The sequence below is a fragment of the Homo sapiens genome, chromosome 18 (assembly GCF_000001405.40).
Source record: "Homo sapiens chromosome 18, GRCh38.p14 Primary Assembly".
In the NCBI taxonomy this organism is placed as follows: Eukaryota; Metazoa; Chordata; class Mammalia; order Primates; family Hominidae; genus Homo; species Homo sapiens.
In genome coordinates this window covers 62014579-62039906 of record NC_000018.10, presented here as the reverse complement: position 1 = coordinate 62039906, position 25328 = coordinate 62014579, and the positions used below count along the sequence as shown (strand labels likewise).

Here is a 25328-nt window from a genome sequence, read left to right as displayed (position 1 = left end):
GGCCCTAAACATGAGTTGCGGCACCCTGGCTGGGCCCTAAACATGGGGTGCGGCACCCTGGAAGGGGCCCTAAACATGGGGTGCGGCATCGTCGATGGGGCCCTAAACATGGGGTGCGGCACTCTGGATGGGCCCTAAACATGGGGTGCGGCACCCTGGATGGGGCCCTAAACATGATGTGCGGCACCCTGGATGGGGCCCTAAACATGGGGTGCGGCACCCTGGATGGGCCCTAAACATGGGGTGCGGCACCCTGAATGGGCCCTAATCATGGGGTGCGGCACTCTGGATGGGGCCCTAAACATGGGGTGCGGCACCCTGGATGGACCCTAAACATGGGGTGCGGCACCCTGGATGGACCCTAAACATGGGGTGCGGCACCCTGGATGGGGCCCTAAACATGAGATGCGGCACCCTGGATGGGGCCCTAAACATGGGGTGCGGCATCCTGGATGGGGCCCTGAAACAGAAAAGGACATCAGGTAAAAACTAAGGAAATCTGAATAAAGTATGGAATGTAGTTAATAAAATGTCAATATTTGTTCATTAAATGTGAAAACTGTGCCTTAGTAGTTTTTAGTAATTAGTAATCATTAGGTATTAATAATAAGAGAAACTGGGTGAGGGAGTGTGTTGGAACCCTCTGTATTAATTTTGCAAATTTTCTATAAAACTATTGTAAAATAACAAGATTATTTAAAATTGTAATTTTATGTTTTTAAAATTTTTACTCTATACACATAATTTTACATAAATGCATTAGAAGTGTAATAACAGAGAAGCAGAGGATTGAAGGGGTGGTTCACTGGTTTTTTTCTGTTTTCGTTATTTCTCCCTAGTTCTCTCTCTGCTCTTTCACTCCTGTAACTCCTCTCTGAGCCATGTTAGAGCCCAATGTGTATAACATTTTTCTTCCTGAATTACTTTCAATCAATTATTGTAGCTATTATTATTATTATTATTATTATTATTATTATTATTATTATTTTGAGACAGGGTCTCACTGTGTCGTGCAAGCTGTAGTGCAGTGGTACAATGATGGCTCACTGCTTCCTTGACTTCCTGGGTTCAAACAGCCCTCTTACCTCAGCCTCCTGAATAGCTGGAACCACGGGCTAATTTTTAAATATTTTGTTTTTGTAGAGACAGGGTCCTGCCATGCTGCCCAGGATGGTCTTGAATTCCTGGGCTCATGCAATCTGCCCCTTGGTCTCCCAAAGTATTGGGATCAGAGGCACGAGCCACTGTGCCCAGCCAATTATTATGTTCCACATAAATCTCACATGAGTGTGTAGTGGTCAGCTGTGCCTTTGCTCAGCATTTCCTCTTGAGATAACTGTGCCTGCATTGCTAACCTTCTGTTTCTGGCAGGAGCCAAAAATTTTTTATGACCCTTCTCACCACATTTGACTAGTTTAGGGGTGCACATCCAACCCACACAAGACCAGTCTAAGTTCTTTGCAAGATTTTCAAGCTGCAACTGAGAGAAAGTTTCTAACATGTGAAGTTTCAGAGCTGTTTTTGGCCAAGTTCAATTAAGTGAAATATTCTAGTAACCTCCCAGTAAGTAATCTTTTCAAAAAAAAAAAAAAAAAAAACACGGAGGGGGATTGAATTCACTGATCTCTCTAAGAACACGGTGGATTACGAGAAATCCGAAGCTCCACTTAAAATGTTTATTTTTGTTCCTGGTTTTTATCTTCTGCTAAGTTGGAATTTAGGGGGCAGAATGGTTCCATGAAAACTGATTCAGACTTTATCCCTCCGATTCACAGTGCTGCTTTCATGCCTAATACTACAAAATGTTCAAGTGCCCTGTTTTGGTATTATGTAGTAAAAACAGGAATTAAAAATCTTAGCTTTGCATAGCCTCAATCTCCAGGAACTGCAAAGAACTCTTACATGTTCATTCCTCCAAAACAAAATACAAATTTTCTCATAGGTGCTACTGGAGAAACAATAGCACAAATAATCCCAATGGAGAGCCTGCCATATGCCAAGCCCTGTGCCAGGGGCTTTACACTCATGATCTCACATAATTGAGTTATTGCAACCACTAGTGCTAGGCCAGACCTCAGCGAGCCTGGTCTGGGTTCCAGGCTGTCAAGAAGGATGTCTTAGGCTCTACTCAAGTTTGGTTTTTCTTCAGCAAAAGCAACAAACACTGGAAAGATAGTAACGAGAGAAAAATATATAGGTGGTTTTGCCCTCCCCTCAAAGGTCTCTCCAGCTCACCGTGCCTCCACCAAAGATTAGGGCTCTTAGAAGCCCGAGGAGAACGATTTGCCCAGTAGAGCAGAGGAACACAGAGCATGGACCCGCTGCCCTCAGTGCTCACAGCCATGGCAGCATTCCCAAACAACTTACATCACCGTAAGAGGCAGTGGTTGTGCTGCTCAGGAGGGCCAGCTTCACTAGGCCTTTACGTCCCTGCTTTGTCTGCACGATGGGGCCCTGGGCTGTTCCACCCATGCCCACTGAGGGGCTTTCATGTGGACAGGCCCGGCCATGGCCCATACAACACCAACCAAGGTAGATATCAGCCTTATTTTCCAGATAAGAAAACTGAAGTTCCAAGAGACTAAATGAATGTTCCAGAGTCCTCCCTTTGGCAAGTTGATTTGCTAGTCAACTCAGAGCTAATTTCAGTCTAAGTCTAAAGCGAAAACTTTTAATCACCAGACTCCCTTAGGGGTATACAACTGCTTCCTTGGGGATGCCAGAAAAATAGTCCACACAGACGATAACACTTGGAAACAAAATACATTTATCCTTTGCTTAGGTCACATGAGTGGAATTACATAGATGATGACAGCAGTAGCCTTAATGTGCAGGTCAGTGGCATGAGTTAAAGTAAGACATTGCATTAATCAGCAGATAATTCAATATCCTCTCCTAGTCAAGCAGAGTGGGGATACAAAGTATAAGACATCAGTCCTGCCCTTGAAGAGCTTGTGTTGTAATTGAGGAGGTAATAATAATGAAACTGGCAGATCATATTTACTGAGTGCTTCCTCTGCACCAGCTGGTTGACCTCAAATCCCTCACGTGTCCCAGGTCAAGGAAGACCAGCAATGAAAGTTATGGGCAGTTGAATGCTGAGTGGCCAGACATGATGGCAGGTTAACATACCAGTTAGCATCTGCTAAGATAAGGATTCTTTCAGGGCCTATGGCAGTAATATGCTCCTCCTGAAATGCAATGTCCTAACTAGCAGTTGACAAAAAAGAAGGGCATAATATGGCCATTGAGAACCAGTGGAATGAAACCAGCCCTGTGGACAGCTTTGTAGCCCCTAGTTTAGGATCTCTCCATAGTTTCCTTGCTCCATAAACAATTTGTTATGTAAGAAATTCAAGTACTAAAATATCCAGAGGAAAAACAACATAATCCACGGTTCACATGTGTTTTACTTGTGGCAAGCATTGCTAGTTACCTACCCAGTATCCACTCTCCTTTTTTACCATCAGAACCTTGATTTGTTTGTCAGAAATATGCCCAGAGCCAGGCAGGGTGGCATACACCTATAGTCCCAGCTACTCAGGAGGCTGAGGCAAGAGGATTGCTTAAGCCCAGGAGTTCAAGGACAGCCTGGGCAACATAGTGAGACCACATCTCTAAAAAAATCTTTAAAAAAAAAAGTATACTGGGATTTAAAAAACAACAACAACAATTAAAAAGAAAAAAAAAGAAAAAAAACTCATCTTCCCTTGCAATGATGCATGCCAATGCAGTGCAGCTCTTGCCAATTATGTACACACAGAAGTCTCTGGGTAGAGCTTCTGGAAACCTCAGTGGAGCTGATGTTCCTTCCTGCCTGTTGCCTTTTCCTCCTGTATCTGAAATGTAGGCATGCTGCTGGAGGTGGAGCAGTTTTGCAACCTAGGAATAATGCATTTGAAAATGAAACTACCTGGAAAGGAAGGCTTAGCTGGAAGATGGATGATGACTGAGTCCATGGTAGAATCCCTTAGCTGCTCACCATACCACCCTAGAAAAGCTCACCTCCAGCTTCTGGATACATGAGAAAAGTAAAGCCTTTTTTGGTTAAGCACTCTAAATCTGATTATGTTCCTGACATACTTGATGAAATTAGAAATATAAGTACTTGTTAAAAATAGGTTTTCAAACACCGCATGTTCTCACTCATAGGTGGGAATCGAACAATGAGAACACTTGGACACAGGATGGGGAACATCACACACCGGGGCCTGTTGTGGGGTGGGGGGAAGGGGGAGGGATAGCATTAGGAGATATACCTAATGTAAATGATGAGTTAATGGGTGCAGCACACCAACATGGCACATGTATACATATGTAACAAACCTGCAGGTTGTGCACATGTACCCTAGAACTTAAAGTACAATAAAAAAAAGATAAAAAAGTAATAAGTTAGGTTTCTTAAATAAGGCCTTCTGAAAAAACAAGATTGAACTGTCTGGTTTCCCAGGGGAACTCCACAGCTGCGGGAATTTAAACATTATGATATTGAGTTACAATGTTTTGTTCAGAGATGGCCATAATCAAGGCATTGGTTCAAGGTCTTAGTTGAACTTTACATATAACTATACAAAAATCAGTAGATTAATTTGCCATTGCTTTTCTTTGGGGTGCATTTTTGTATCAGTTCGTTCTCATTCTGCTAATAAAGACATACCCAAGACTGGGTAATTTACAAAAGGAGAGAGATTTAATGGACTTACAGTTCCACATGGCTGGGGAGGCCTCACAATCATGGTGGAAGGTGAATGAGGAGCAAAGTCATGTCTCACATGGTGGCAGGCAAAAAAAGCATGTGCAGGGGAGCTCCCCTTTATAAAACCATCAGATCTCATGAGATTTATTCACTATCATGAGAACAGCACAGGAGAAACCCACCCCCATGGTTTAATTACCTCCCACAAGGTCCCTCCCATGACAAGTGGGGATTATTACAATTCAAGGTGGTTTGGGTGGGGACACAGAGCCAAACCATAGCATTCTCCCCCGGCCCCTCCCAAATCTTATGTCCTCACATTTCAAAACCAATCATGCCATCCCAACAGTCCCCCAAAGTCTTAATTCATTTCAGTATTAACTCAGAAGTCCACAGTCCAAAGTCTCATCTGAGACAAGGCAAGTCCCCTTCCTTTACATGAGCCTGTAAAATCAAAATTACTTCCTAAATACAGTAGGGGTACAGATATTGGGTAAATACACCTGTTTCAAATGGGAGAAGTTGGCCAAAACGAAGGAGCTACAGGCCCCATGCAAGTCCAGAATCCAAGAAGGCAGCAATTAAATCTTAAAGCTTCAAAATAATCTCCTTTGACTCCATGTCTCACATCCAGGTCACACTGATGCAAGAGTTAGGCTCCCACGGCCTTGGGCAGCTCCACCCCTGTGGTTTTGCAGGGTACAGCCCCAGTCCTGTCTGCTTTCATGGGCTGGCATTGAGTGTCTGTGGCTTTTTCAGGTGCACGGTGCAAGCTGTTGGTGGATCTACCATTCTGGGGTCTGGAGGACAGTGGCCTCTTACAGCTCCACTAGGCAGTACACCAGTGGAGACTCTGTGTGGGAGCTCCAACACAGGAGGCTGAGGCAAGAGGATTGCTTAAGTCCAGGAGTTCAAGGACAGCCTGGGCAACATAGTGAGACCACGTCTCACTTATTAGATTCAGAAAACAGAACAAAACAAGGAACACATTGGCTTTCTAGCCATTCACCAATGGGTTGTATGGTTTTAAAATGTTTGCTATTTTATCTATTGGTCCTCAAAGCTAGAGCCCTGCCTCTTTCAAGACTTTACCAGGTTATAAGGGAAACACAAAGGCATATTCAACCTAATTCTTGCCCTCAAGAAACTGATAATGCAGTTTAGGAGGCAGAATTTATGCACTCTAGAATCACACAGACCCATCTGGGCTCTGCTTCTTATTAGTTGTGTGACCTTAGACAAACCCCTCTGAGTCTCAACTGATTCATCTGTAATACTGTGATAATACTGCCTGCCCCATGACATGTTTATTGGTCTCAATGCACTTATGACTTAGATTAGATTGAAACATTAAATTGTATTAAATTTGTTTACAGGCTTCACCTCTGAATAAGAACATTAGCTTCTTAGTGCACTGCATACTTAAAGTATGGGTATAGATGATACAGCTGGTGAATAAAGGCAGCATGTGATATTTGCCTTACGAGCAATACGTGCAACAAGTACTCAGAGACTCCGAGAGAGAAAGCTCAGGAAAACTGATGTGCCAAGAAGGCCAGCAATTGAGAAGGGGCTTGAGGGAAGAGTTCAAATAAGCATAGTTCTACAATGAAATACAGAACTCAATTTATATTCAGAAGTAAAAGATTTAATTCCATTGATCACATGTTTGTAGGCATTCGTGCTTAATGAACCATCAGCATGTGTAAGGCACTGAACTAAACACTTTAGAAGAAGTAACAGATATAATCTACTATCAGTCACGTTTATCAAAGGAAACTAAGATTCAGGTTAACTCACCCAAGTCAAACAGCCAGGAAGTGGTGCAGTTTTTTTATTTCATACAGTTCAGTATGAGGCAGCCTCTTATCGGTATGCTTTCCTCTCAATCCAACTTTACAAATCCAGTGATTTTATGTAGACAAGCCATACTGTGGAGGTGTTATTTTGATTGTCAGCGTTCTACCTTCTTATTTGCGTGGATTTCTATTAAAGGGGTCTTGGGGGGATGCAGTGCTCTGCCTCCCACTATAGAAGCTGAAGGTGGCCCCATATAGTGGTTCTTAGCAGCCCAGCTGGGGCAGACACTAGCTATGGCATCCAAGGAAACTGCAATGATGTTCCTTGCAGGTCCCCTTGGCTGCGTCCTCTGTGGCCCAGCTTCCCTTGGTCCCCAACCATTTGTTAAGCCTGCCTAGTTACTCTACAAGCCATTTGTATCCTAAAAACTTTTGTCTGCATCTCTGTTACTTGTGACCAAAACCTTTAATTGATATGCATACATTGAATGTGTTTGTATCTCTTCAGCATTTAGTGTGATTTCTCACTGTGGCTTTTAACAAAATTTTCATGAACTCTTGTGTAGTCCTTACAATGTGCCAGACGCTGTTTTAAATGCTTTACAAATACTAACCTCTTTAATTCTTATAAGAACCCTGTGAGGTAGGTATTATTATACTATTTTACAGATGGGAAAACTGAAACACTGGATAATTATAAATAACTTGCCCAAGATCTCACAGCTAGTAAACAATGAGACTTTTAAAAAAAATTTTAAATGCATAGTTTTCCCAAACATTTTGTCTTGTCATCAGCATAAGAGCATCTGTAGATTTTTGTTTCTGAAAATGCAATCACTGCAGCTAACCAGGTGGTGTGGAAACTAGACTTTTTCCATTGCATATAGATAATCAAGTATGAACAGTATACTTAGGAAAACATGCTCCTGAAGTTGACTACGTGTGTGCAGTTGGCTTGGGGCACACTTGCACCAGATTCTTGACATTCACCTTTGAAGCATATGCCAGCTGCGTTCCAGATGGCATGTGAAGCAGAAGGATGAAGAGCTTTCCTCAGTTTTCTTTTAATCAGCATTAAAGGATGGAAGTAAATATTGGTTGTCTATTTTTAAGCAATTGAAGTTTGCAAAGACATGGAAGTTCACAGTATACTTAGTATAGTGGTGTGAATTATGGGTGCCCCAAAAGATCTCTCCACATCCTAGCCCCCAGCATCTGTGAATGTGACCTTATTAGGAAAAAAGGAGTCGCTGCAGATACAATGAAGGATGCTAAGATGAGCTCATCCTGGATTATCCAGGTGGTCCCTAAACCCAATGGCAAAAGTCCTTAAAAGGAACAGAAGAGAAGTCACAAGAAGGATTAGGCCATGTGAAGCTGGAGGCTGAGAGTGATGCAGCCACAAGCCAAGGAACACCTGGAGTCACCAGAAGCTGGAAGAGGCAAGGAAGGATCCACCCCGAGAGCCTTAAGAGGGAGCAGCACTCTACTGGTACCTGGATATAGGACTTTGGAACTGTGAAAAAATAAATTTCCATTGGTCAAGCCACTCTGTTTGTGATAATTTGCTATGGCAGCCACAGGAAATGAGTACACTTGGGGAGGTAAATTTTTCACTTCTCTGATTGTTTAGTACTTTGACACATATCACTCAAATCCTTACCATAAGAGGTTAGCTACAGAAACATGAAAACAGAAAAGAAAAAAAATGGTCCCAAAGAAATCATTTGCCCTGTTTCTTTTGAATATTCATTTTTGAGGCAAAATCCGGGCTGTGCCTGCATGTTTGGGGAGGATGGTCCCTGACCCCTTGGCTGCATCTGGGGATAGTGTAGATTTTAGGAATACTGTGCTTCTTCCTTGGGGCAGAGCATCACTCAACTTTTCATTTCCCTTCAAAGAAATTTCCATCTACTGAAATCCATTTCAGTGGACTCAGAAGGTTCATCCCTACTTTTTATTCCAAGGGTTCCCATAAATAGTTTCAGACAAATTTGTTCCATGATGTTTCCTCAGTCTTGGTTTATGAGATATGCCTAACATATGTGTATTAGTCTGTTCTCATGCTGCTAATAAAGACATACCCAAGACTGGGTAATTTATAAAGGAAAGAGCTCACAGTTCCACATGGCTGGGGAGGCCTCACAATCATGGTGGAAGGCGAATGAGGAGCAGTCATGTCTTACATGGCAGCAGGCAAGAGAGCTTGTGCAGGGAAACTGCCATTTATAAAACCATCAGAACTTGTGAGACTTATTCATTACCATGAGAACTGTATGGGGGAAACCACTCCCATGATTCAATTATCTCCACCTGGCCTTGCCCTTGACATGTGGGGATTATTATAATTCAAGGTGAGATTTGGGTGAAGACACAGCAAAACCATACCAATATGTGTACACTTTTTAAGAGTTATATATTTAATTTAATTTAGAGACAGGGTCTCACTGTGTTCCCCAGGCTGTACTCAAACTCCTGGGCTCAAGCCATCCTCCCACCTCAGCCTCGAGTAGCTGGGACCATCCTCAAGCCATCCTCCCACCTCAGCACTTGAGTAGGTGCATGACACTGTACCCGGCAAGAGTCATATATAAGTTAGTACTTAGAAATCCCCAAAGGCACATGCAGTGCCACACAGTGGTGAGAAGATCATGATCTTTTTTTCCTCATTTTGAAAGTGCAGATAATAGCACAAGCAATTTACTGGGCCACAAGTTTGAGTATCAGAGTTCAACATGAAATGTGAATATAAAAATATCAGCACAATGTGAAGATAAAAATATCAGCACATAAACCTAAAGGTGGAGTTCACTACTCTTTAATGTCAAGATTGCTAATGGTTTGGCTTTTCTGGAACATTCCTGCCATATTTTTCTGGACATGTATAGAGCTCTGTGACTTTCCTTTTCCCTTTGATATTTCTGGTATTTATGTGTCTGGATCCAATTGAAACCAGGAAGTTGAAAGTTTATGATAAACCCGGTTGTCCTTTTAACTGTTGCCCTCAGGGGCTTACTTGAGAAGTGCCTCATTCTCAGTAATTCTGTGACATCCATGACCTGATCCAGGATGTAGAAGAGAATGTCCCCCCAGGATCTCTGTGTGCAAGTCCTCTGAGTCCTGATCCAGATTTGGCGTAAGTTAGACATACCACCACAGGCCTCTGCAACAGGGCCTGACACCATCACAAGAACATTCTCTGCATCTCAGAGTGAAGCCTTCTAGTGGCATTTCACTTGTTAAGCCCCTGAGTCTTATGTAATGCTAACCGACATTCTGGCTTATAAGATCTTATCTCATGTCAGTCTGATGGCTGGAGCTGCTGTTCTAAATGCTTCCAGGGCCTCGGAGGCTGACCAAACTCACTGGAGTCTGAGACCGGAGAATAATGAGAGGAGGACCTGTTATCCATCCCCTGGGTCTTCTCTGCAATCCATCCCCTGGATCTTCTCTGCATTTGAGAGCTTGTGTGGCGAGAGGCTCACTCAAGGGACCTCTTAGTTTATCTGGTAGACCTGCTCCTTCAGGATGCTACTAATACGGGAACAAAGTTGATGAGTCCTGGATCTGGTTTTATGAGTTTGACCCAATGCAATGAATGCTTTAATGTGAGCTGCAGATGCATGTCACTCCTGCCGAGGAATTAGATGAAGTTTAATGAAAGGCCAGTATCTTCTCCTGCTAAGAGTTCTGTTCTGCTCTCTCTGTTCCTATTCCTAGTCTCCCTTCTCCCCTCCGCCTCCCCACTTATGTCGTTGCTTTTCTGAGTGGCCATTGGAAGTTCTGGCTTTACTCCTGAATATATCCTGGAGCATAGCAGTCACCGGTACTAAATACCCTCTTCCCTTCCTCATTAAATTTTCAGATTAAGCCAGTTTAACTGGCTGTTGACAATGCAAATATATCTTCAAGAAAGAAAAGAAGTTTAATGTCCTTTCATGCACCCATCTACCCAACCATCCTTCCATCCCCTTTCTATCTTTACCTACCTGAGCCCTTGTGACTCAGCTGTGAGGTTGGATTAGGGAAACCGAAATGGTTAGAGACCGTTATAATGACCTTACAATCAGGTGCTTCTCAGGCTTTGCAGGTGGTGAGAAAGGCTGGTGGGAATATGAGAAAAAAGAAGAGAGAGGGGGAAGATCCAAATGGTTCTCTGGATCAGTTTATCCAAAGGACAGAGAAAAACGAAAAGTGGTTTAAAGTTATCAAAAGATGGAACAGTCCTTCTTCTTCATCCAAAGCATCTTCCTCCCACTCTTTCCTGTCCCTTCAAAACTGTATGGCTGCACAGGATTCCATGGGAGGAAGACAAAGAGATGGAAGGCACATGGAAGTGACTCTCACCAGGCACCACTGGCCTCCATGTCCGCAGTCCAGTGGCTTGTCCCTGTCTGTTTTGTGCTAGAACTCTCCATGGCCTTTGACTCTGGGGACCATTTTACATAATAGCTGCACAACATCTGTGCTGTTTTTCATATGGAGAGTTGACAGCGCTGATCTACTGCTGCAAAGGACAAGCATGTTGAATTGCTTTTTGGGAATTCTAGCAGTGTTGCTATCAGTGAAAACTGTTGCCCTTTCTTCCTCTGATGATAATTTCCTTACTTGGGAAGCAAACCCAAAACCTTATCCTTGTTAGCTCCATATTCTAAGAAGCTAAGAAAACAGAACTGGGATGCTGCTATCAAAGGAACAATGCCATCTCTTATTCGAGAAAACTCCTGCGACTTGGATCTACGTGAAAATGTAGATCATTTCACAATGGCATCTTGCTCAGAACTGTTAATTTTTTACAGCACAATGCTTTTCAATTTAAGTAATTAGAATCATAATGGAGACAAGAAGGAGTAGAAACTTGCTTCTAAAAATTTTAAGCAGAAAATGTCTGAAGCTTTGTTGAGAAGATGATTCTTGCCAGCTACTGCCATACCAAATAATGGCATTTCTTTCAACTAAAATATTTTTAAAGGCTTCTTGTTTAAATTTCTTCTATTTCTTTTTAGAGCAGATGGTCTAAATGACCAAAGCCTACGCCAAGAGGGTTTGATTCATTCTTTCGGAGGTGCTGACACCTTGGAAGTGTAAACAGCTGGATGGCTCAGGAGAATAAAGTCAGCTGAATTGCTCTACTCTATCAGTGCTGTTGCAGATTTTTGTTGTCACAACTGGCAGAGACACTTTCCCAGGAGGCTCAGGTATATAAAGGCGTGAAGCACCTGAAAACTGTCAGCTGTTCTTATCATCTCCGCTGTCATTGTCACGAGAAGCTAGGGGAAAGAGCTGGAAGTGGATTTGCCCTCCATTCGGCAGGGTATTCCATGTATTGTGGAACCCAGTGCTTGCAGCAGCCTTGCCACAGGGGAGCACAGTGTAAGTGGTGATATTGGAATGCACTGTATGCTGATAGGGAAAAGGCACATTTACATAGAAATAAGGATTGATCACCTTATTGCCTTTTTCTTTTTCTTTTCTTTTCTTTCTTTCTTTTTTTCTTTTTTTATTGAGACAGGGTCTCATTCTATCACTCAGGCTGAAGTGCAGTGGCGTGATCACGGCTCACTGCTGCCTTGACCTCCCAGGCTCAAGCAATCCTCCCACCTCAGCCTTCCTAGTAGCTGGGATAACAAGTGTGTGCCACCACACCCAGCTAAAGTTCTCACTATTGTGAAAGGAAAATAAATCTTGGCGACCCAAAATTGCTAAGCTAAATGTCAAACTAGGACCTGTTCAGGGCAAACCTGTCTCCCATTCTATTCAAAGTCACCCCTCTGCTCACTGAGATAAATGCATATCTGGTTGCCTCCTTTGGAGAGGTTCGTCAGAAACTCAAAAGAATGCAACCGTGTCTGTTATCTACCTACAACCTGGAAGCCCACTCCCTGCTTTGAGTTGTCCCGCTTTTGCTTCGCGTTGTCCCGCCTTTCTGGACTGAACCAATGTTCATCTTACATATCTTGATTGGTGTCTCATGTCTCCCTAAAATGTATAAAACCAAACTGTGTTTTGACCACCTTGGGCACATGTCGTCAGGACCTCCTGAGGCTGTGTCATGGGCACGTGTCCTCAACCTTGACAAAATAAACTTTCTAAGTTAACTGAGACCTGTCTCAGATATTTGGGGTTCAAACTATGTTGCCCAGGTTGGTCTTGAACTCCTGGGCTCAAGGGATCTTCTCCTCTCGGCCTCCTTTATTTATTTATTAATTTGAAATGGAGTCTCACTCTGTCACCAGGCTGGAGTGCAGTGGCATGATCTGGGCTCACTGCAACCTCTGCCTCCCGGATTCAAGTGATTCTCCTGCCTCTGCCTCCTGAGTAGCTGGGGTTACAGGTGCCTGCCACCACACCCAGCTAATTTTTGTATTTTTAGTAGAGAGGGGGTTTCACCATGTTGGCCAGGCTGGTCTCGAACTCCTGACCTCAGGTGATCCACCTGCCTCGGCCTCTTAAAGTGCTGGAATTACAGGCGTGAGCCACCGCGCCTTGGCCCCCCGTCAGCCTCCTTTAAAAGCTTGTCCCTCAAAGGAAACATCCTTCTCAGGCCACACTGATTTGCACATTTGCAGTAGTCATGGCTCCACATTGTTCTGTGATGACTAAGGTGTTGCCTCCTTCCTACTTCCCTGGGAACTTCTGATATGTCTGTCAAGTTCCCAAGACAAATTCATTCTGGAATGTCTTTTGACAAGAGTGGCAGTAGCAGAGGCAGAGTCAGGAAGGCTGTTGGGGTTCTCCGTGTGAAGAAAGTACACTGGGTACATTTTGAAGTAATAACAGATATCAAACTTTATAAAATTGTTACCCCAGACAGTTTTTAAGTAGATTACTCTCCAACTTGAAAGGTTTGGTTTTTTCAGAGAGGCCTGTAGGCTGCTATTTATCTTTGTTCTTGTGCCAGTATCAGTATAATTTGTCATCAGTTGGTTCTTGGGGCTGTGGAATTGGTGGTAATCAAATACAGAATGAAATTTTCACCTGTTCTTGAAATTCAAGGTGGGCTAAGATTGCTTAAATGTATGTCACTCTTTAGAATTTATAATGCTGAGTCTTGTTCAAATTGGTTGCTCCGTTCTTTTTTTTTTCTGCCAACTTTCAGATTATCTGTTGAAAATGGACATAATAGCATTAACTGTATCTTTTTGTTTAAACATCAAAATTCACATTTCAAGAAGCTAGAATGCTTCCTTAGCGCCTAAGCATTCTATGTAATCCTTTTTGTTTTTCCTTTAACAGAGATAAATTACTGAGTTCTTATGGGTGCCACTCATACTGCAATGAATGAACGGGATTTATAAAGGAATAACTGAGCTATCACAATGTGAGTGATATTACAAATAAATGTGTCCCGGGTGCTATGGAGGCTCAGGAGGGACACCAATAACTTCCGACAAGGTGCAGGGATTGGGTAGATTTCACAGCTCTGATACTGGATGTAGGTCTTGTTGTGACAGTTATTATTAACTTGGAGGAATTTAGGACCAGACGCATGGGTAGCAACAATCTAAGTAAAAGACGAATGGAACTTGAATTAAGACAGGGGCAGTGGCAGGAGGCATATATGAAACTTTCTGGAGGCTTGTTGAATTGACTGGATGTAGGGGCTGAGGGGGATGGAGAAGTCACAGGTGGTGGATATTCCTGCTTAGACACTGAGTGAATATGGGTACTTTGGCTTAGGTAGGAAACCCGGGAGGAGAAGACATTTAGGGCATGATAATAAATTTTATTCTAGACATGGTCAGTGTGAGGTGTCCAGATGCAACCTGGAGGGAATGTCCAATGGAGGTTTGCATAAGCAAGACTTAGAAACAAGCTCTGTGCTGAACAGACACATATGGGAGTGCTAAGCATGGCATGTAACGTCTTTTGTGAAATAGTCCCTGGCTGTGCTTCCAGCTTCATCTCTTGCTATTTGCCTCTCTCATTATGTTTGCTAAGCTTATCCAACCACATGCAGTTGTATCCTCTCTCACTTCTGGTCTTTACATATACCCTTAATTGTGCCTGAAACACCTATTATCTCTAAGTGGGGAAAAAAAGACCAAAAAACAAGAGGAAACAAAATAACTGTCTCAGTGAAGAACTAACAAATATACTGGCTTTTCATTTAGAACACAAAAACCTAATGTTGACTGAAAACAAACCAAGTTGAACTGGCTATGTACAGCATGATACCATTTTTATGGTATCAAATACCATACAGGTGTAGCAAATACATATATGAGTAAAAGAATTGACAAGTTTGAACATGATGAACATGATGTGTCTCCATTTATTCAGGCCTATTTTTATAGCCTTCAATAGAGATATAACATTTTTGCCTAGAAATCTTGTGCAATTTTATTATCCATTCCCAATCTTTCTCTTATTCATCCATTATAGACACAGATCAATGTTTCTTCCTCTGCTAGGGTTTCTCCTACTTGTACCCATAAGAGTGGTTGAGGTTTCCTTCTTCATGTTTCAATGGCCTCTTTGAGAATAAGGACAATGTCTTATTCATGGTGACATTTCCAACTCTTCACCAGGGTGGAGCACATATATGATCATAATCAGTATTTGTTTTTATTTTGTTTTGTTTTATAGAGAAACCAGGTGTTGCTATGTTGCCCAGGTTGGTCTTGAACTCCTGGGTTCAAGTGATCCTCCCACTTCTGCCTCCTAAAGTGCTTGGATTACAGACGTGAGCCACTGTACCCAGTCAGTAATATTTGAAGACAAGTGATAGTTGAGCCACAGGAGCTAGTGAGTTCTTCTAAGGGATGCATATAAAGGTAGAAAGAAACAAGGGGGGCCCTGACAAGTACCAAAATGTGGGGCTAAGGTTGGAGTTATAGAGCAAAAGAAAATTGTGAAAAGGACTGAGAAGGACTATAGAGAGGAGGAAAAAGAGGAGAACCAGGGTTAAGGGGGAGAGAATTTCTAGAAGATTGTATAAATGATATCAGATATCCCAGAGCAGCCAAGTGAGATGTGGTCTGGAGTTTCTACTGCTAGAGGAAATCGGTGAAGCCCTCATGAGAACAGGGAAGGGGCTGGGGGAGGAGCTTGACTGTGCACCGTGTCTCTTTCCAATGTCTCCCAGCAGCTATGGAAACTGAGATGTTTTCTTCTTTGTGAGAGAACTTGACTTCTTTGTTTAACCTCAATCTTTCTCTGCCACCTTCATAAGTATTTCAATGGTGGACTTAAATGCTTTTGATTTACTTGTTCGTAGGGTTTCAAAAATCCAATGTATATCCAAAATAAAGGAATTAATTAACATGCATCAGCCTATTCAAGTGGTTTCTAGTTACCTAGATGCCAAACTCTTTGTATCCTAATTTCTTAGACAAAACCTACTTTTAGCTGCCCTCTGTATTCCAGTAGAAAATAGGGCATCCTTACTTCCCACAGTTCTGATATGCATGAATTTCAGCCGCTATGCTTTAGTTAAATAACACCTTCCCTCAACAGCACATTCAAATTACCATGGTATATTAGCTCTAAGTAACTGCATAAAGTACACAATTCACTGCTAGCTCTTCAGTCCACAAATCACTATGCAAATAAGAGATGCACATCATGATCAGTGACCAATCATACAACTTTCAGTCTATCAGTGACTGGTCACTGTGTATCTGTTACTCAGTTCATGCACAGACAGCAAAGTGTGCAGTTGTGTTGCCTTCTTGTCTCCCATGTGACATTTCATCACAATGGATAATCAAAAGAGGGAACTGACCAACGAAGATGAAATTGCAGCAAAAAAGCCCAAAAGTGGTGATGCTGTAAGTGAAACTTGAATCAAATGTAAATTGAGTTACAGAAGAAATAGTTCATGGTGGAACTGTTGATACAGCCACCATTGAGAGGCTTCAGATAAGCAGCCACAAAAACGTGCTGAAGGTGAATTTATTGACAGAAATGAGGAAAGTGATTGTGACCCAAATGTCCATTGAATGGATGAGCAAAATGTGGTATACCCATACAATGGAATTGTATTCACTGATAAAAAGGACTGAAGTGCTGGTACATGCTACCACATGGGTGACCTTGAAAACATTATGCTAAGTGAAAGAAGCAATCACAAAAGACCACATAGATTGTATGATTTTATAAAATATCCTGAATTGGCAGATCCACAGAGACAGAAAGTAGATGAATTGTTGCCTGGGGCTTTGGAAGTGGGGAATAAGGAGTGACTGCTAATGGGTATGGGATTTCTTTTAGGGGTGATGAAAATGTTTTGAAATTCCATCATGGTGATGGTTGCACAACTCTGTGACTATACACTCAATCCTTCATATCCGTAGGTTCCACATCTGTGGATTCAACCAATAGCGGATCAAAAATATTCAGAAAAAAAAAATTGCATCTTTTCCAAACATGCACAGACAACTTTTCTTGTCATTATTCCCTGAACAATACAGTAGAACATCTATTTACATAGCACTTACATTGTATAAGTCATTATAAGTAATTTAGAAATTATTTAAAATATATGGGAGGATATGCATAGGTTATTTGCAAAGACTATGTCATTTTATATCAAGGACTTGAGCACCTGCAGATTCTGGTATCCACAGAGGGTCTTGAAACAAATTCCCCACAGATACCAAGGGATGACTGTACTAACAAGTAATGAATTATGTACTTTGGGTTTTATGGTATGTGAATTATATATCAATAAAGCTGTTACTAATGAAATGCAAGGTACTAAATAAATACTAGTTTCATTATTTTTTCATTTTCCTATACACTTAAAACCAACAGTAAGAGAGATTTTAATATTCTTACAAGAAATTTTAAAGGTCACAGAGCAACCATAATTTTTCCCCTTGACTATTAAGAGTGTTTAATACAGTTTCAGCTTGCAGTCATTTTTATAGTCCTGCACTACCATGCAATGGAGGATTGCCTAGAATTTCTAGACCAGCTTAGCAGAAAATTCTCTAGCAATTCAGGGCTTAACCTTATTGTCCAGTTTCTTTAATTATAGGTGTGGCTTGACAAAAATGGCTTTTACTAGTATTGTCTGTGAGGGTATAGTGAAAATTAATGCTTTCAGTTTGAATCCTTATCTGTTTATTAACTAAGGTTAAAACAAATCCAATCAGTGAAGCAAATATTCAAGCTTAATTATGACTTCCAAGTTACCTCTCCTTGACAGGCAGAATCATAAGATGGCCCCCAATATTTTTGCCCCATAGTGTAAAGACTGTATATGATCCCCCCACCTTGAGTGGGGTTAGTACCAGTGAATATTATAGGATACTCTCTCCCTTAGGCTATGTTATCTAAGATGCCATCATAGCAGACTGGAGGGGGGATCTTCTGCTGCCTTTGAAGACGTGAACTGCTATGTTGTGGAAGGGCCACATGGCCAGGGCCTGACGGCAGCCTCAAGGACTAAGAGCTAATAGTTTAATAATAATAATAATAATAGCTACTACTAATAATAATGGCTAATAGCCAGCAAGAAAGTGGGACTCAATCCTGTAGCCACAGGAACTAAATCTGCCAACACCTCAAATGAACTTGGAAGAGAACTTAAAGCTCCAGATAAGAATGTAGCTCAGCCGAGACCCTGATTTCAGCTTTGTGAGACCCCAAATAGTCCCACTTGCCATGCCCAAACTTCTGACCTATAGAAACTGTGAGATAATAACCGGGTGTTGTTTTACATGGCTAAATCTGTGATCATGTGTTATGCTGCAATAGGAAAGGTGTACACTTGACAACCAGAGCCAATAAAACGTTGACTTAGTTTTCTTCACAGAAATCCTGGTGGGGGCACCTGTCTCCAGAGAGGAGTAGCAGCATGTTTGCCAGCAGCCCCTGTGCAAAGTCAGGGTTTCTGAATCTCAAGGTTTCCTCTCCTACAATGCACCCCACTGCATGTGCAGCAACACTTGGCCCTTTTCATGTCACCCAGTGGGACTGCAGCTCAGAGAAATGATGCAATTATGTTTCTCTGGCTACTGCTATTGCTGTGAGTAATAAACTGTCTTTTGTCTCTGACCCAGAAAGCCTGTGTCTTCTGGCTGTATCTATAAAACTGTGACAAGATACCTTGTTGCCTTGCTAGCAGAATAAAATCTCAAGCCCTTTCACACACAGCTCCTGGCTTGACATACACAACAATTTGTGTATCTATCCATCTGTTAATGGGCATTTGGTTTGTTCTCTGTTTGGCGGTTTTTAATAAGTAAAGCTGCTTAAACATCCATGCATAAGTCTTTGTATGAACATGTATTTCCTTTTCTCTTGGGTAAATACCTAGGTGTGAAATGCCTGGATCATTTAGTAGGTGTATGTTTATTTTTAAAAAGAAATTTCCAAACTATATTCCAAAGTGGTGGTACCATTTTTTATTCACCCCGAAAGAATATGAGAGTCCCAGTTCCTCCACATCCCTGTCAGCCCTTGATATGCTCAGTCTTTAAATTTTTTTTTTTTTTTTTTTGAGACAGAGTCTCGCTCAGTCGCCCAGGCTAGTGTGCAATGGCGCGATCTCGGCTCACTGCAAGCTCCGCCTGCCAGGTTCACGCCATTCTCCTGCCTCAGTCTCCCGAGTAGCTGGGACTACAGGCGCCTGCTACCACGCCCGGCTAATTTTTTTTTTTTTTTTAATATTTTTAGCAGAGACGGGGTTTCACCATGTTAGCCAGGATGGTCTGGGATCTCCTGACCTCGTGATCTGCCCACCTCGGCCTCCCAAAGTGCTGGGATTACAGGCATGAGCCACCGCGCCCGGCCAGTCTTTAAAAATTTTAACCATTCTAATGGGTAGGTAGGAGTATCTCATTGTAGTTTTAATTTGTATTTTCCTAATTACTAATTTGCTAATATGCGAATGTCTATTAATGTTCTTTGGTGAAGAGTCTATTCAAATCTTTAGTCCATTAAAAAAAAAAAACTGTTTTAAAGTCTTTATCTGCTAATCCCATCATCTCTGTCATTTCAAGGTCTTTCTGTTGACTACTTTTCTCCTGGTTCCAGATCGTATCTTGCTGCTTCTTCACATGTCTAGAGGTTATGTATTGTATGCTATAAATTATGAATGCTACAGAGTTGAATGTCTACATTTGTTATGTTCTGTACTAGAGTGTTGGATTTTGTGCTGCCCGGCAGTTCGTTTCCTTACAGATCATCTTGGTAGTTCCCAGTGTTGGTTTAAAGCCCTGTTAGGTAGATCTAGAGCAGCCTTTCTGGGGATTTCTCCACTCTGGCTGATCAGTACTTGAGCATCTCCAGACCCGTTCAGGCTCCGGTAGTTCAACTCTCAGCTCCCTAGTGTTCTTTGCTCAGTTGCATGGAGTCTTTTTTGTCCTACAAAGGAGTAGCTTGGTATTTAGCCACAGCCTCCAGGACACCCCTATGCAGATATCTGCAACTCCTCCTCTGCAAGCACTCTCCCAATGGGACCGTGCCCTGCACATTCTGACTGTCTCCATAATCCAGAGTTCCAATTTCTGTCTCCTCAGTTCAGCAGCAACGCTGTGCTATGCTGGGCTTCCTCCCTGTGCCACAGTCTGGAAAGTGCCTAAAGTCAGAAAGGGTTATGAAGGGACTGTCAGGGACCACAGTCTTGTGCCTCCTTTTACCCAATGTCTGAAAACTGTAATTTCATATATTTTGTCCAGTGTTATTGTTGCTTACTGCGGGAGGGCTAGGCCAGTATCAGTTAATCTGTTGTGGCCAGAAGCAGAATCCTAAGTGTGCTATATTGGGAAATTTCATTGGAAGGCTTCCCTGAGGAACAAATAATGATTGAAATGAAAAGCCATGGAGAAGTGGCTCACCTGGTCTCCTGAAGTGTCCACCTTTTGCCTCCCCACTAGTTCCTCTGAGATTTTTAGGTAAAAGGGTTATTAAGGTGGATTTAAAGAAGTTTTGTCTTATTTCTGGTTTTCAGCTAACTAGCAAAACTAAAATGTGTCTAGAGCTAGTCCCAGGTAATTTCCCCTAACTCTTCACAAGTTAATCACAGATTCACAAAGTGAACTTTTTAAAGCTATTTGTTTTGTTAGTCTAAGAAGTAAACATGCTAATGTAACTAACGAAATGTCTTGAAGAAACATTAAAGTTTGGAAATAATGTCCATCTCTGGCAAATAGTGGAACTTAGCCCTCCCAAAATACTACAGGTATCAGTTATGAAGGCTACAAGTTTGTATCAAAGAGGTGGAATGAAGGGACGTGGGAGACTGGGTTTAAATTTTTGCTTTGCTTTTTTTTGTTTGTTTGGAGTGCAGTGGTACAATCATAGCTCACTGCAGCCTGAAACTCCTAGACTTGAGGGATCCTCCCATCTCAGCCTCCTGAGTGTCTGGGACTACAGGCATGTTCCACCATACCTGGCTAAGTTTTTTAATTTTCAGTAGAGCCAGGGTCTCACTATGTTGGTTTCAAACTCCTGGCCTCAAATGATCCTCCAGCCCTGGCCTCCGAAAGTACTGAGATTACAGGTGTGAGCCACTGTGCCCAGCCTCCAATGCTTTTTCTAACTGCCAACCTTGGGCAGGTCCTTTGACACCTCTGGGCTGTGTGTGTGTGTGTATGTGTGTGCGTGTGTTTTCTTCTGTAGATGAGGAAGTGAGGTTAGCTCCTTTCTGGCTTCAAGGCAGCAAGTAGAGGCCTTTTGTTACATGCATGTGGTTTCAGAATCAGACCTGTAATTGAACCTCGGGCTTGCCACCCACAGTCTGGGAGGCCTTGGAAAATGTACTGCTTCCTCTGGAGCCCCAGGTTTCTCTTTAAAACTGGAATAACTAATGTTAAGGTTATCATGAGGACAAATGATGTAACAAACCATGTGCTCAGCTCAGAGCCCAGCACAAGGTAAAGGTATGTAACAGGCCACCAAAAAAATGAACCTCCTAAAGTAATGGGTGGTAAGTTAGCACAGTATGCCTATCTGTACTGCATTCGATGCTTCTGCAAGTCCTGGCTGCTAAGCATGTGTTGCCCTAGTGAATGTAAATCTTAATAGGAAAAGAATAATTCCAAGCACTTAGAAAGTGAAGGAGGCAATGATTTTTACATGTGTACGGATCAAACGGAATCGTTCCACTGAATGTGCATGAGCCCTCGCCTCAGTGCTGGTGAAGGCAGCCAACAGCTGTTTCTATTTAATTCTTCAACTTGATCTCGCCCATTCCCAGCCTCCCAGCTCTACCAGAGCAGCTGGAAGTCCTCACAGATTCTTTTGTGAAGCTTCCCTTCCCAGGGCAGGCCGGAGCCAGCCCTGCTTTCCCTGTATGTTTGCTATGATTCCTCTAGTTTTCACTTGACCTCCTGTGCCTGTTAGTTCCCATGCAGTTCTGAATTGGTCTTTTGAGCTTTTAGCTATCGCCAAAGCCTCTGACTGTTCTTCTCTCAAGGTGGGAAGGAATGCATATGGGAATATGGGGAAACAGAATAAGCTTTTGTGGTGCACACTGTTCGTTGCCAACTCAAATTCATTGTCCCTGTCTCTTTTGCTAGTGGAACCTCAGTTTTGTTCAGGGTGGTAATATGCCCGATAAAATGTTGACTTCAACCCTCGCAGCTAGGGGTGGCCAAGTGGAGTAGTCTGGCCGATAAGATGTAAGAGGAAGTTGCCGAGTGGGGCTGTTGGGAAAGCTCTTTATAAAGGAGCTATCTCAAAGGTCATGCTTTTTTTTTTTTCTCCACTTCACCAGGCACTTCACTGGGCCTGACTGCAGAAGCACTGCCTGGAGGTGTAGGAAACATCTCACAAAAATGGAGCTGAAGGCCATGGTCTCGGATGAAAGAGGACAGAGCTCAAAATAGGGTGAGTTACCCCTGGCACCATGGAGCTGCCAAACCAACCTTGGATGACCTAACTCTGGAATCCTTTTTGACATGAAAAGAATGGAACTCCTGTTTCATTTAAGGTAATGTTTAGTTGTTTCTTCTGTTATTTGCAGTATAATGCAAACCTAAGTGATACTACTTTTTGTGTGAAAATAAGATAAGTATTTGTCTGTGTCCATGGGAGAAGTAATAAACTCACCAGCATAGAATGAATTTAAGCAAAGGTTAGATAGACATCACTCAGGGGTGTTTAAAGGGATTCTTGCATTAAGTGGAAAGTTGAACTTGGCAGAAAAGCAGAATGTTTATTAAAGAAAAACCATTTGGGATAAAAGTGGCTTATGGCACCTCAAAGTTAAATTTCAATTACTGTAAAATAAAATTTCTTTATTATTTTAGCACTTAAGGAAGCTACAATTCTATGTGTATAACATATTCCTGTTTCCTACATTTTTTTCAAATCTATGAGGATTAAGAAAACATTTTTAAAATCTGCAGGATTTTAGGAAACACAGCAGAATTTTCATTCAGTGAATCAAGTTCACCTTAATTAAAAAGTTGATTTTAAAAATCGTTATCATTTATGACAGCCTGGATGAAACTGGAGGACACTATGCTAAGTGAAAAAGCCAAGCACAGAAAGACAAATACTATATGATCTCACTCATATGTGGAATCTTAAATGTGGAACTCACAGAAGCAGAGAGTAGAATGGTGGTTACCAAGGTTCAGGGTTGAGGAGAGGAGACTGGGAAGTTGGTAGAAGGATACAAAACTTCAGTTAGGAGGAATCTGTTCTGCAGATCTATTGTACAACATGGGATTATAGTTAATAACAATGTATTGTATACTTGAAAGTTGCTCAGAATAGATTTTAAATGTTCTCAGCACACACACAAAGAGATAAGTATGTGAGGTAATAGATATGTTAATTGGCTCGATTTAGTTATTTCACAATGTATACATACAGCAAAACATCATGTTGTACACTATAAATATATACAATTTTTATTTGTCAATTAAGAAACTAATAATTAAAAAAGTCAAACTTTCTCAACTATAGAAAAGATTGTTTCATGTGTAGCCTTCTGGGACTCCTAATTAAACATGGTAGCTTGAACACATGCTTATCTTTGTTCCTTCTTAAAACCTCATTAAAATTAAAGATATGAAAAATGGATAAGCCCAAGGAAATGAAGAGAATGTAAGAGATAAGAAGAGCAGACAAGAACTTTTAAGAAATTTACAGAAGATAGAGAATGGATGTGAAAATAGTAGAAAAATTAGGGAAAAAAAGGTAAAAATGAGTGCCTACAACCTACAACCAACATCATATTTAATAGTGAAATATTGTAAACTTCCTGCCTGTGATTGGAAATAAGACAAGAATGCCTACTATTGATATCTCTACTTCTACTCAACATTGTATTGAATGTACAATAAAACATAAAATAACACCATTTTCGAAAGCAACTTAAAACATCAATGTCTAGGGATAAATCTAGTAAAAGATTTTAAAGACTGCCATACAAAAAAACTATATTGTGTCATTAAAATAAATTAAAGAATATCTTTTAAAAATGGAAGGATTTACTATGTTCATGGATTGGAAGAGCTAATATTATAAGAGACAATATTGTAAAATTGTAATTCTTTCCAAATTAATTTGTTGGTTCAATGCAATTCTAATCAAAATCCTGGTAGATCATTTTGTGGAAATTGGTAAACTGATTCTAAACTTTATTTGAAAATGCAAAGACTCAACAATAGGGAAGACAGCCTAAAGAAGAACAAAGCTTGTAAACTTATTCTTAAACCACAATTATTGTGATGGTTTTGTTGTTATTGTTGTTGTTTTGAGATGCAGTCTTGCTCTGTCACCTAGGCTGGAGTGCAATGGCATGATCTTGGCTCACTGAAACCTCTGCCTCCTGGGTTCAAGTGATTTTCCTGCCTCAGCCTCCTGAGTAGCTGGGATTACAGGCATGTGCCACCATGCCCAGTTAATTTTTGTATTTTTAGTAGAGACAGAGTTTCACCATGCTGGCTAGGCTGGTCTCAAACTCCTGACCTCAAGCGATCTGCCTGCTTTGGCCTCCCAAAGTGCTGGGATTACAGGTATGAGCCACCATGCCCAGCCTGTGATGGTTTATCTTCTACCAACATCACAATTTACTTGGAATTTAGTTTTTGATATGGTATGAGGTAGGGATAAAGATGCATATTTCTAGAAGATAACATAGGTACAAAATACACCAATTGTATAGGAAAATATTGATGTGTGTTCTTACATTAAAATAAAAAACTTGATTCATCAAAAGACCTATTAAGATAGTCAAAAGGTGAGCAGAAGAGTAAGATAAGATATTCACAATACATATAATTAGCAAAGGGCTTTTATCAAGAATATACAAATAATTCTGTCAAATCCATAAGAAAAAGACTACAATCGAATGAGAGACTCACTGATATTAAATAACTTTTTCAAATATACAACAACATAACAATAATTAAAAGCAGAGGCTCTAGAATAAGGTCATCTGAGTTCAAATCCTAGCTCTGCCTTTTACTAGCCTTGTTGTCTGCTATGAATTTCTTAACCTCTCTCTGTTCCTGTTTCCTACTAGTGATAGCACTTATATATTACGGTTATTGCAAGGCTAAAGTGAGATAATACAAGCAAAGCTCTGAGAATAATGCCTAGCCCTTTGTTTTGACTACATACATTTTTATTTTTATTATTAAGAATTGGGAAAACAAATCTTTGTTTTCATCCAAAACTCATGCTTTTGACCATTACACTATACGGCCTTCAGGAAATTTTTGCTGTTCAGTTCTCAATTCACTAAAACCTTGAATAATTTGCTGTTCAGCCTCAACTCTTATCAACCTTTATATAAGTTGTATTACAGGATCAGTGCTTTATTATAAATCCACTCACTCATTTTTAAAGAAACCTTGCGGTAGGATAAAGATAATAATGCCAGCTGGGTGTGGTGGCTCATGTAGCACTTTGGGAGGCCAAGG

General features: G+C 41.4%; 1 protein-coding gene across 2 annotated transcripts in view, besides 1 other annotated feature; it reads left to right on the top strand.

Moving 5' to 3' along the window:
* PIGN (phosphatidylinositol glycan anchor biosynthesis class N) overlaps nt 1-22292 on the top strand; it is a 169442-nt gene extending 147150 nt beyond the window's left edge. For both annotated transcript variants that reach the window (XM_047437461.1, XM_047437431.1), the window contains one exon: nt 22166-22292. In XM_047437461.1, coding sequence (XP_047293417.1) covers nt 22166-22277 — 112 coding nt within the window. In that variant the 3' untranslated portion in view covers nt 22278-22292. The remainder of the gene's footprint in view (nt 1-22165) is intronic.
* Nucleotides 11617-11911: a silencer, noted in NCBI's record as "tiled region #1275; HepG2 Repressive non-DNase unmatched - State 21:Repr, and K562 Repressive non-DNase unmatched - State 24:Quies". NCBI's record gives its function as "represses a minimal TATA promoter and a strong SV40 promoter by Sharpr-MPRA in HepG2 and K562 cells {active_cell/tissue: HepG2 | K562}" and the evidence as "EXISTENCE:reporter gene assay evidence [ECO:0000049][PMID:27701403]".